The sequence below is a fragment of the Homo sapiens genome, chromosome 17 (assembly GCF_000001405.40).
Source record: "Homo sapiens chromosome 17, GRCh38.p14 Primary Assembly".
NCBI classification, from domain to species: Eukaryota; Metazoa; Chordata; class Mammalia; order Primates; family Hominidae; genus Homo; species Homo sapiens.
Window position 1 is genome coordinate 8,522,374 of NC_000017.11, and position 12,396 is coordinate 8,534,769.

The following is a 12,396-nucleotide window of genomic DNA, read 5'->3' on the forward strand; positions in this document are numbered from 1 at the left end:
TTATGCAGGTCTTCAGTGGAAGCTGGGAGAAGGGCGGGTAAAAGCTGTTTAATTTCCAGGCCCATGCAGGCACACTACACTACAACTGCTTCCAAGCAAAGCTACCAGATTCAAGGGTGTGGGTCAGAGCTACCTCTTTTGCTTGTGCATTGGAGACTGTCTACCTCAGAGACCACCATTCTTTCCTGTGCCTTCAACCTCTCCCTCTTCACTTGCCCCAGCAGAAAGCGGCACAAACCCACTTCTGCAGGCCCCATAAAATACTGATCTTCCCTTGACCCTGTATCTGCCCACTTCTCTTGTCAGAGCCACGCTTCTTTCTTGAGTAGTTCACACCGTTGCTACACCATATCCTCTCCCACTAACTTCCCAGTGTGTAGCCAACTGGCTTATGGCCCGTCCTCTTCCTCTCCTGCCCAACACTACTCAGGCAATGACTGGTCAATTGCTAAATGAATAGACACCACCCAGTGCTTGTTTTTCTTGACCCTGGTACGTTTACCTGGTGATGTCACAGCACCATTGTAAAAACTCTCCACTCCTGGCTTTTTTAGGAGCTCCACCTTCTCCTGTACCCTACTTCCCCCTCACTACTTCAGTCCCATGTTTCTTGATGATTTCTCTTCTGCTTTTCCTGTACCTCATGGCACTCGCCTGGGATCCCAAATCAATTCATCTGCAACCCTTCTAGAATAAGGCACAATACAAATGCTGACACTGGCCCTCTGCTTTTCTCAAGCCATATTCCCAACCCAGGTGATCTCAGCTATGACTCTAACTAGATATACCTGACCACCCAGAGCCAGCTGCCAAACACCTGTGTTCTACTCTCCACTCAGATGTCACAAAGGTGCCTCTGCCTTCTACAAATGTTTGTTCAATCCTAGCATGTCTGCTTTGACTCAGTGTTGCATCCCTGCTCCCTGCATGATGTCTGGCACCAACATACTTCATATATACATGTCAGTGGATAAATTATGTAAACATTAAATATCTTTGTAATTAAAAAGAGTGAGAAATGCATTCAAAGAAAATAACAGGATGCCATAGGAGAAATGAGTGGTTAGAGATCTCTCTGGGGAAATGCCATATAATACCCCAAAATTAACAATGGGCCTGTGGGAAGATGACCACTCCAGTCGGTGCAATCAGCATATGTGAAAGACCAGGGGCAGGAAGAAGCGAAGGAAGGCCAGCACGGAGGAGGAGGCACCAGTGTGAGGAGGAGCTTATGACACTCGCACTGGCTGCTGCCTGCAGAATGGCCTGGGGAAGGGGGAGGGAGAAGTGGAAGTGGGGAGGCCAGACAGGTGACCCTTCCAGGAGTCCAGGGTCTAGGCGATGAGGGCAGCTGGAGCTAGTGAGATTACAAAGACAGATCGAGAAGGAAGATTCAACAGGTATTTTAGTGGGAGGACTGGCTTGCTCTTGGATGAACTTGATATGCAAAGTGAGGCAGAGGAGCATTTCAAGAATAACTGCCAGGGTTCTGGCTTGAGCAACCGAGTGGCGGTAGGGAAGACAAGGAGGGAAGTGGGTTTTGTGGATGGGAAGACAAGACCCAAACTCTAAGTAAGTCTGGGATGCCTGGGGGACTTCGAAGTGGAAGAGAAATGTCAAGTGACAAGAGGAAAATTCCAGTCTGCTGCTAGGAAGAGAGGTTGGAACTAGAAAGGTAAATTTGGGAGTTGTCAACTTTTATCTAGGGGAGACCAGAAAGAGATGGAGGGCCTAAGACCATCCCCAAGGAGCTCAGCAGAGGAGGAGGAGTTAAAGAGCAATGAAGGCCAGGCATAGTGGCTCATGCCTGTAATCCCAGTATTTTAGGAGGCCGAGGCAGGAGGATCACTTGAGGTCAGGAGTTTGAGACCAGCCTGGCCAACATGGTGAAAACCTGTCTCTACTAAAAGTACAACAAATACAAAAATTAGCTGGGCGTGGTGGTGCACACCTGTAGTTCCAGCTACTCGGAAGGCTGAGGCAGGAGAATTGCCTGAACTCAGGAAGCGGAGGTCGCAGTAAGCTGAGATCATGCCACTGCACTCCAGCCTGGGCAACAGAGCGAGACTCTGTCTCAAAAAAAAAAAAAAAAAAAAAAAAAAAAAAAAAAAAAAAAAAAGGATATGGAGAGGGGACAAAGGCCCAAGTCTTAAACCCAAGCACAGATCCACCCTCTGTCCTGTTCTTCCTCCTGGGTTTCCTATCCAATGGAACCACTGACCAAAAGTGGTCAAGCCAAAAGTTAAGATGTCATCGATCCACCCTCCTCTCCCCTGCCCTTGCTGGGCTCCTGCTTCTGACCTGGATCCTGCACTTCTCCCCCATTTCATCCTCTACCCGTAGTGCTACATGTTTCCTTCATTTACACCTTTTGTCCCTGTGTAATGTAGCAGCCACTTCTAAAAGACAAAACTAAGTATTAACATCCTTGAGTTTCTCCCACAGCCTGTCGGATAGTGTCCAAATAACTCAGCTCAGTAGTACAGCATAGCAATGGCCTTCACTCAGAGTCAGACACACCACACTCATGAGCTGGGTGATTCTGGGGCAAGTGACCCAATTTCTCTAAGCCTCAATTTCCTCCTCTTGAAATGGAGCTAAGGAGACCACGCTTCAGAGTTGTGAGCCTGAAAAACATTCAAGTGTTCAACGAAGGCACCTCTCTTGTCCCTTTCACACATGCCCCTAAAGGCCAACTGTACAAACTAGTTGCATTTTCCCAAAGACACAATGACTTCACATTCCATCCTTTTCTCTCTGCCTGGAATGCCCAGCCCGCTCCAGTCATCTTGGCAAATGCTTAAATACTTTTAAATCTCCATTCCTTTACCAGCTACCTCAGGGAACCCTTCTTATGCTCGGTTTTCACCCTGCCTCCAAAGCTAAATACACCACTCCCTTCTCTAGGCTTCAAATCCCTGGGACAGAACTTCCACACTGTTTCTGTGCTTCTTCTCACTGGACTGAGCTTCCCCAGGGAACATTTTTCCAGCATCTTACATACTCAGGGCCCCGAAAGCTGTGCCTATGGTGTCTCTGGCCCCCCAACCATCAGCGGAGACAATCTCCCAGCCCCAGATGTTGGCCGGTGCCTGGTGCTGGGCACACAGTAGCTATTTAATAAATATCTGCTAAGTGAACTTGCACGAAGTTTACCAGAAGAACAAATCACCACTACAACAAAAGAGGAAGAGCACCATGTTACTCTGGAAGGATCAATTACACTGGTTGTGCAGTACTTTAGCCTACACGGGCAGTTCTTAAACACAATCTGCTGTCAGTGTTGTGTGTGTGGTTTTTTAAAAATATAGTAACTAATAAATAGTCATAATAATCCTGATTTTCAAATTTAATTTTAATACGGACAATCCAAAGCTAAATATTCAGATTAAAAAAAATAATGCTTTAGACTTTCAGTTCTTGTTTTTTGTTTTTTTGAGATGGAGTCTTGCTCTGTCACCCAGGCTGGAGTGCAGTGGCACAATCTCGGCTCAGAGCAACCTCCGCCTCCTGGGTTCAAGCAATTCTCCTGCCTCATCCTTTTGAGTAGCTGGGACTATAGGTGCCTGCCACCATGCCTGGCTAATTTTTGTATTTTTAGCAGAGATGGGGTTTCACCATATTGGCCAGGCTGGTCTCGAACTCCTGACCTTATGATCTGCCCGCCTTGGCCTCTCAAAGTGCTGGGATTACAGGCGTGAGCCACCGCGCCCAGCCGTTTTTAATTCAACATTTTAAACTCAGGGTTAGATTCCACCAACAAAATCATCTTGTGGGTAAAAGAGAAACACTTTGGGAAATTCATTAAATGATTTGAGCCACACTAATAATGTATGATTTCACTCAATAATCAAGACCCGAAAAAACTCTATTTTAAGAGTATTTTCTTGTTGATCAAAGCAGAAACCAGAGAAAGGCAGAAAATGCGAAGAGAAGACTCCAGCAGCTCCTTGAAATGGGCGGCGCGCCTCACTGGAAGACCTAATATTGCTTCTAAATCTCAAGTGCCCTTCCTCCAGCCACAGTTTCAGGGTAAAGATTAGCTTTGTTTATTCTTGCACTGTAAATTCTTCTATCTGAGATGTCAGGAGACCCTGGTTAGGATTGCTGGGGGGCATTTAAATTCATTACTTGGTTCTAGAAGCCTGAAAAGTATTTTCTTCTAACACCTAATTTACTAATCTATAACAATGTATTTAAACAGTCAGAAATTAGATGAGTTCCAGACTGAAATCTGTGAGGACATATTCGCATAGCTTTAAGAGAGAAAATGCAACGTGTCGTCTATCTCATCATGAAACTGCCACCAACAGTTTCATAGAAGGAATGGCATCGCTTGGTACCGAATCCTTAACTGGCCCTTCTAGGGGATAATCTAGGAGACGGGGCCATAAGATTTTTATGTTTTTCAAATCTGTGCATGGGCCAAAATACTAGTGTTACTAAATTTACTTTCAAGTATTTAAGCTAGATCTTCAGAAATTCATTCTACTTAATATAGCTGGAAACCAAAAAAGGGGGAAGAAACCTATTTAATGTTAATTTCAACAGCCAGATGCTGATGACTGAGAGCAGCATCACGCGCTCCTCATGAAAGGTATCCAGTGCCCAGCACTGTGTGAGGCATGGAGCAGGTTCTCAATACTCATTTAAATAAGGTAAGACAATTCCACCCTCATATAGATGAAAATGTCACTGTTATAAACAATTTGGAAACAAATATATTTAACTATTATGAATTCGCAGAAACGATCTTCACATCAGTCTGTCTCCATAATATCCCTGTTACGTGGTACTGTAATAACAAGTTTACAGTGGTTACATAACTAGTTGCTAGAACCGATCTGCTAATTACTCTAGCATTGGGAAATTTTTAGAAAAACCCCAGGAAGTTAAGAGGTTGACAGGAAGCACATGATTTAAGGAGAAAGCAATCTTCTTTATCCCAAGCACTAGTCTCAAGCCAAACTTGAATGTCTCCCTTATTTCCATCTACCTTCCTATCCCTTTCGGCCAGGCCATCTAAGGCGCTGGGCAGACAGGAAGCCCCTCTTTGCCTACAGCTTCCACTGTGCTCTGCGCTCGCTTTCTCCCGTTGTGGGGTCCCATGTCCCCAACTCATGCTGAGACTGGGCAGCCTGGCACCACGGCCTATCAGCTGTACCTTGGGACACTATGAGCGATACTAGACTTATGTTAAGGAAAGCCAAGGAAATAAACATTTATCGGGTTTCTCTGTTGTTCTGTAATTACAGCAGCAGCTGCTGCAGATGCAGCCACGGCAATGGCAACTCTACAACACCACACATTCAGGCACTCCCCATGTGCCACGCATTCAGGTTCACGTTGCCTCAGTTGATACTCACAGTAACCCTGAGAACTAAATGTTGCTGTCCGCACTTGTCCTCAGGAACTCAAACTGCAGTACCCAAGCGCTGCTTCTCCTCGGTGAGTTTCCAACTATTGCTAACACTCAAGATCAAAAAACAGGGAGGAGGAGAATATAATGCAACAACAAAAACCTTCATCCATTGAAAGCGAGAACAATTTAAACACGTAAACTATGTCAGACCTAAACCACAGATTCTAAAATGGGACTTGAGATGGAGGTTATGATCAATGGATGTAATCTATATGGAGATTAAATGGGTACCATCTTATCAGTCATGATACTTGACTCTACCTGGACTTCTCAGGTTTTCCCCAATTTTTGCTCTGCTAGTACACTCTTCCGGACCTGTCAGCTGCAATCTAGCACACATGGAGGTTCAAAGAGCCTAACTGGTGCTGTTCTATGAAGGAAATTGCAGGTGCAGGTATAAACTAGCATTAGTGAAAACGATACATAATTGTACCTCCAACATGCTTTGGATCAGGTCTAAAGCCTTTGATAGTCTCAATTACCCTATTACCCATCACCCCTTTAGTCCAAAAGCCCTGCCTGTAGCTTTCAGGTTACAACCCCTTTTTGCTGGTTCACTCTGCTTGCATCTTCCACTACTGGTTTATCTCTGAGGTCCAGACTTTCAAAATATACTTGGAAGAAAACAGTCCTTGACTTTATAGCAGAAACTTATATGACCTCCATATTTGCCTCTAGGAATCCTATTCTCCCCTGTTCCTTTCTCTTCTGTACTTGTCCTGTGATTTTTCTGCAAATCTCTCTTTATTCCAGTCCCAGAAGCCTGCATGCTCTTCATAATGATATCTTCCCATCATTACACATGTACTTAAGCACATGGGTCCTATCAGCTTTGTGTCACCTGCTTTAGAGAGGTGCTTACCATATGTCAGCACGTCACAGGCAATCACAATTTGGATCCCTAGAAACTCCTTCATCCATTGTCTTCCAAGAAATCACTGGAAATATTAAAGTCCTACATTTTCGTTTTAAAATCCCTTAGCCCTCTCTGGGGTGGTGGTCTTGAATCCATAAGCGCATTAAAGAGAAAACGATTTTGCTGTAAACTATTACACACAATCTCAAAGAACATATTTGGCCTTGGTAGATGGATGGGCTTCCAAGGAGAAGCAGAGATTGAGATCCTTGGTACTTGGTTCAGCTAAGTAACTCAACCAAAGGACACCTCACAGAGAGAGACAGAACCGGGAACATTTTCAGTGCCAAGGTGAGGGTACAGTGAGGGGAATGAGCCACCCCGCTGCTCATTCACTAGCATGAAGTCATCTAAGAGAGGCTCTGGGCTGGATGCTGCTGGTACAGCAAAATGCCTGGTGTATACACCCCAAAGATCATGCTCCCACAGGAAAGAGTGTCCGTGCTTTAGGTGGTCACAGTGGGAATGGAAGGCGAAGCTGCTGGGGCTGAAAATGGGTGTGGGGTCGCCACCCCCTATCCATCCATCAGCTCTCTCTCAGCGACTTAGTGATGTTTTGCCTCCTCTGTGCCAGGTGCTGCAGAAATGACAGTGAGCAAAGCCAGGCACTGACCCTGCCCTCAAAGAGCTCACAGCCTGAAATTCTCTTATGAGGTTAGAAATCCAAAGGGAATTCATCTAAAGAGGGCACTCACTTTAGGAGAAAGTCCAAAAGATCAAGCACTAACCTTTAATAAAGCACAAGTCCCAGGTTATAGCTGAAAACTACCTCCAAGCTTCCCCCGTCCATTTCAACACTGTCAGCATTCCCCAACGCCAAAGAGGACTGAATTTAGAGATCTCTTCCTTTGGAGTTCCGTAGAATTTTCATTCCTGCTTATGCTGTCTCTAGCATAATCTTTTCTCTCCTCCCACTCCATACTTGCAGTCTACTTCTTTCATAGTATGTGAACTAGAGGTGATGGCAGGAATTTTGAGTTGGATTAAAATAGGCATGGCCCTTTAACATTTTAAATATAACTTTTGAGATGGATTTGGATCTCAGCATTATCATGTTCCAAAAATCATAAAGGAAATTTCATAAGATAAATTTATCTTTGAGTTTCGCTACTTGCCAGTTTCACTAAACATTCGGAAGGCTGGGTGGGCTTCATTTTATATTGGGCTTTTGGAGACTCTGTAGCTGTAGTTAGGCTGTATTGTAATACAGGGCTGAGGATTCAGATCACAAAGCCCAAACATTTGGAGCTCAATTTAAGGTTCAATGTATAATTCTGACAACATTCCACTCTATTTTAGTCTCAACTTGCACATATCAGGCCTTGTAGATAGTTTCAGGGCCTCTGGTTGAAAAGAAAAGGCCAAGTAGCCAGATAGGCACACAAATTCCAAACAAAAGGTATAATGATGAGACCAACACACCTGAGGTAGCTATGTAATTATTTGTCTACAAAATGTGTCTTAAATACAAGAAAAAAATCCTCCTTGGAATTCCTCAGAGTTGAAAATTTAAAGGTGACTCAAAAGCAAAGGAGATGTCATTTAGCAGATCAGTTCTTAACAATTTCCTTAGAGGACTGTGTATCACAATGGCACTATTGGAAAAGGTAGTGGCATACCTTTTAATATGCGGTGCTATAAGTGCTATGCATAAAATAAGAAGCAATGTGTAGGCAGTAGCAATTAAATTGCTTATGCACTCAAACATTTGCCTTGAAGTATAATAAAACTGAGCATGAAATGAAAGGTTCATGCAGGCCTATGAGCAAAACAAAAACAGAAACCCAAAGCCCACCCCAGCCCCCAGTCTACCCCCGCCCTCCCCGGCCACCCTGCCAGTCCCCCCACACGTTTTTCCTGTGGGCTTAAAACCCTTCTGTTTTGGAAGACCTACAGGCTTTATACATTCACCTGGTGGCTCATGAAGACCAGAAACACTGTCATAGAAAGAAGCTCTCTGAATATTCTGAATCTCTAAAGCAGAGAAACAGCAAAAACAGGACAGAAGAGCAAATACACAAACACTTCAGTTAGTGTGAAAGACATTTGACAGCACAAGTCAACTTTGAAATCGGGCTACAAAAGGAGCTAGTCCAAGGCAGATCCCATGCAAACATGACTGTTTAGAGAATTTGCACATTTGGATAAAGTTCTTTATAAAATAGATTAATGCTAAATCAAAAGAGCACATTCCCAACTCCCGGTGTGAGCATTATATGATATCAATGTCAAATGATTAGCCCATGTAAATGCAAGATGACATTTATGAGGAATAAGGCACTATTTGAGTTGTCTATCGTAAAAATATCTTATCGTTAGTAGCTTAGGGCATGACTGCAGTGAAGTCACAGCACTATGGCGAATGTAAGTATCAATGGCTTTTACTGTCAAAAATTACGCTGCTGTGTAATTAATTTTACTTCTAATACAGATTTTCGGAAATATAATTTCCGAAAAATAATTTGAATACAAATTACCATATGACAGATAACTACCATTAAGGAAAACAAAATTCAAGTTCTGTTGTAGCAAAATGTTAAAATAATTTTGAATTATAAGCGAGATTATACTTATTGATCATACTGTTACTCATGAAAATATCCTAGGAGGTACATTGACATGAAAATGCAATCTTTAGGATTTTTTTTTTTCCTCAATATAAGCTTTAAGAAGTGCCAAGAAGTCCTTTGCAGCTGGTAAAGAGATCCCAAACAACATCTTTTAGCAAAAAGTAGGGCATTATAAATCTCTAGGGCAGGGCTGCCACCAATAAATCTTATTTCTCCTGGTTTGGCCTTGAGAAAACTCTAAAACTCTAACACAAACTCTACTTTTTTTCTTTTTCTTTTTTTTTTTTTCAGTTGAGACAGGGTCTCGCTGTGTTGCCCAGGCTGGTCTTAAACTCCTGGGGTCAAGCGATCCTTCTGCCTCAGCCTCCCAAACTGCTGGGATTACAGGCGTGAGCCACCGTGCCCAGCCATAAACTCTATTTTAACACAAAATGTTTCATACTGTAGGTGTTGCACCTTCACAGGCAAACTATATTCATATATCATATATTCATCTATTCATGTTCAACTTGTCGTTTTCTGCTTTTGCATTTAAGTGGCTCTAAAAAGAGGAAAATAATGTTTTTCCAGGGTTATTTTTCTAGAGAAAAATTGCTCCCCTTATCCTGCGATCTCTCTATCCAGAGTGAGCAGTGATAAATCCTCCACCTTAGAACCCTCTTTAACCTTCTGTGCCTGCCACTGCTTTCTGTATGAAACAAACTGTCCTCAAAATTGGACAAACATGGTACTGCTTCTCTGCCTGCTCCTCACCCTGAAGAACAGTGCCTCCCAACAGTGAGTGGCCTCTGAGATCTTCTCCGTCACTCAGATGAAACTAACTGTCCACCTAAGCTGAAGAGCGACAGCACCTCCTGCTAAGAGCAGCATTATCAGGAGAGCAAACATGTAGGAGTATTCCAGAGCAGAGGCTAGCAGAGCCAAAGCAAACCTGGGGTAGATAAGATATCCCTTGGCTTATTTTGACAAGAATGGCCAAATGCACTCCCAACGGCATATCTCTGGAAAGACAAGGGCCATAAATAGGGCTGTGCAAACATGGCATCTGTGAGTCAGAGCTGTGGACTAAGTACAGATGAATGGGGCTCACACCAGGGCTGAAGGAGCTCAGCAAGGCTTACAGTTTCCTCTAAGCATTTCTGTAATGAAATCAATAACTTTCCCGTATCTCTTAAATGGAAGACACAAAAGTGCAGGTAAGGAGTCTCCAGACAGGGTCCTACCTGTAAGACATAGCATCTGTGATCTGTAATTTGTATGACATCCCAGCCTCCCACCTCCATCCTTGCCCACCAAATCTTATATACCTACAGCTTCTGACCTATTGTTGCCAAAGCCCTCTCCAGTATCTGGGGCTGGTGAGACCTTAAATTAAAGAAGAAAGGAAGGAGGAAGTAGGAAGCTGGGAGCCAAGAAAAAGATTAGCTCAGTTCTAGTAATGCATCTGTGTATATCCTGGTTTCTCAACTGGATCACTAGCTCTTGGGAGGCAGGGGACATGTCTCTCATTGCTTCCAGATCTAGCTCACAGATTATTGCCATGGGAAGCACATACTTAGGTATGTAGAATTATACAAATGGGTCAAGTGCTGAACAGGTGTTTCCAACACCATTTTTGGTTAAGGGATATAAGACAAGGACTAAAAAAGGGTTCATAGTGTCAGAATAAATATGTAATAAAGGACTTAATTTCCATGCTTATAATGTCAGTAGTCCCAATACCTGTTTTCCTTCAAAATGAAGAGAAAACCAGTTTTTGAGGCTTGTTTTCAAAAACCAGGAAAAACCCCATTTCCTCTGTTCCTGTTTCCCAGGCATCATCTCCACGCCCACTGTCATCTTCAGTCGCCCCATATTCAACTCCTCACTTCCAGGCTCTTTCACTCCAATCTACCCAAAACACACTGCCTGTTTCACTTCTTCGAATTCAGAATGGGTCACTACCCAAGGTCACAAACCTACTGATGCTATTTATTCAGCACAGTCTCAAGTCCAAATTCCACTAGAGATGGGACATGAGGACTCTCCAGTCTAGCCTCAACCTACCATCCCAGCCTCATTTCCTGCTCACTCTTCTCTGCCCCAGCCCTCTCTAAAGCCAAATGGAACACTCCTCCTGAGCTATGATTTTCCACCTCTCCACTGTGATCATTCTGTACTTCTTCTCCTGCCAACTTCATTTCTACAAATGCCACCCCAGACACTCACTCCTAGAGTCAGTTCATGCAAACCTTCTTACCCGTTTAAGGCATAACCGGGCCATAAATGCTCATAAATTAGTGCTGAAAACACTGTGTGGCACTTAGTAGGTGCTCAGGAGATGTTAGCTTTCATTGTTTAATCAACAAATCATTATTCTCTTTTAAGGACAAGGAAAATTTGCATCCTCTCATCATGACATTTTTCCCTTAGCGCCCCAGAAAAAGGTAGTCCCTTCCTCTGTTGCACACCCCTAAAAATTCACTGTACCATTCCCATGGCATTTATCACAGATCCACTTTGCATACTGATCTCATTCCTTCTGCTGTGTTCTAAGACCTTACAAGGGTATCCAGAGGAGAAGCTGAACATGGGGAGACTTTGTAACCTACACAGTCTCCAACACTGTCACAGCTGAAGTGATTCCTGAAGGAATGCAAATCCTTACGACTGCAACATTACTCCTCCCTCTTCTTCCTCACATATTTCCCATCCACATTTCCAACTCACCAGCGCTGGCCTTTCTAGCACTGTAGACCCCGTAACAACAACCTGAGCTCAGAGGTCTTTTTCTGTTCTCGTCTCAGTTTCTCATATCCCACTCTTAACACTGCCTGTTGACAAGGTGAAGAGGAGCTCAACTCTGAGGATACTGTAAGTTCTATTGCAGCTCCCTGCTTCTCTTCCCAGTCCTCACACAGCATCCCTCGACTGACTAGGTCACTGGAAGTGACACTGCACTCAGTAGTCAGTTGAAGACTTTCACCTAAAGGTACAAAGATTAAAGGCTTCTGTTTTACTTGTTGGAAAGCTCGTCTTTCCCCCAGGTCCCTCCCCTCTTTGCTATGTCTCAGGCCCACAGTCTGCTCCCAGGACGCATGCGTGCCTGTGTTCAGTGCATCCCCCCCTGCAGCTCCCTCACACTGACTTGATCTGATGGACACAGTCATTCTTAAGATGATCTTTTATAGGGTCACATTCCCCCTAGTCACTTTCTCTGTGTCCATTCTTCAATTCCTGTCTCTTTCCTTTGGCCCCAATTGCCCTCAGCCTGCCTGCTTCCATTTGCCCTTCTCTGCTTCCATTCCTTTCCCTCTACCTCTAAGACAGCTAGATTACAAGGCTTAAGATGCTACAGAGAAAGCAGATGTGACCCAGGTTACTGAACAGGTCTGGCCTCAGGGTCAAGGTCTAGGCAGGGTTAGATCCAGGGCTAAGGTCCTGCATGGCCTGAAGCCAGGCAAAGAGGTGGAACAGAGCCAGGATGAAATGTAGCAGGTGAGCTGAGC

The 12,396-nt window shown here is 44.0% G+C and overlaps 1 protein-coding gene across 4 annotated transcripts in view, besides 1 other annotated feature; it reads right to left on the minus strand.

The window, feature by feature from the left end:
- Positions 1 to 12,396, minus strand: part of MYH10 (myosin heavy chain 10) — a 156,514-nt gene that overhangs the window by 48,162 nt on the left and 95,956 nt on the right. Inside the window, exon 17 of one of the 4 annotated variants that reach the window (NM_001256012.3) lies at positions 8,250 to 8,312. The exons of the other annotated variants lie outside the window; for them this stretch is intronic. Coding sequence (NP_001242941.1) covers positions 8,250 to 8,312 — 63 coding nt within the window. The remainder of the gene's footprint in view (positions 1 to 8,249; positions 8,313 to 12,396) is intronic. 4 annotated transcript variants of the gene reach the window in all.
- Positions 9,738 to 10,032: a silencer, noted in NCBI's record as "tiled region #10362; K562 Repressive DNase unmatched - State 5:Enh". NCBI's record gives its function as "represses a minimal TATA promoter and a strong SV40 promoter by Sharpr-MPRA in K562 cells {active_cell/tissue: K562}" and the evidence as "EXISTENCE:reporter gene assay evidence [ECO:0000049][PMID:27701403]".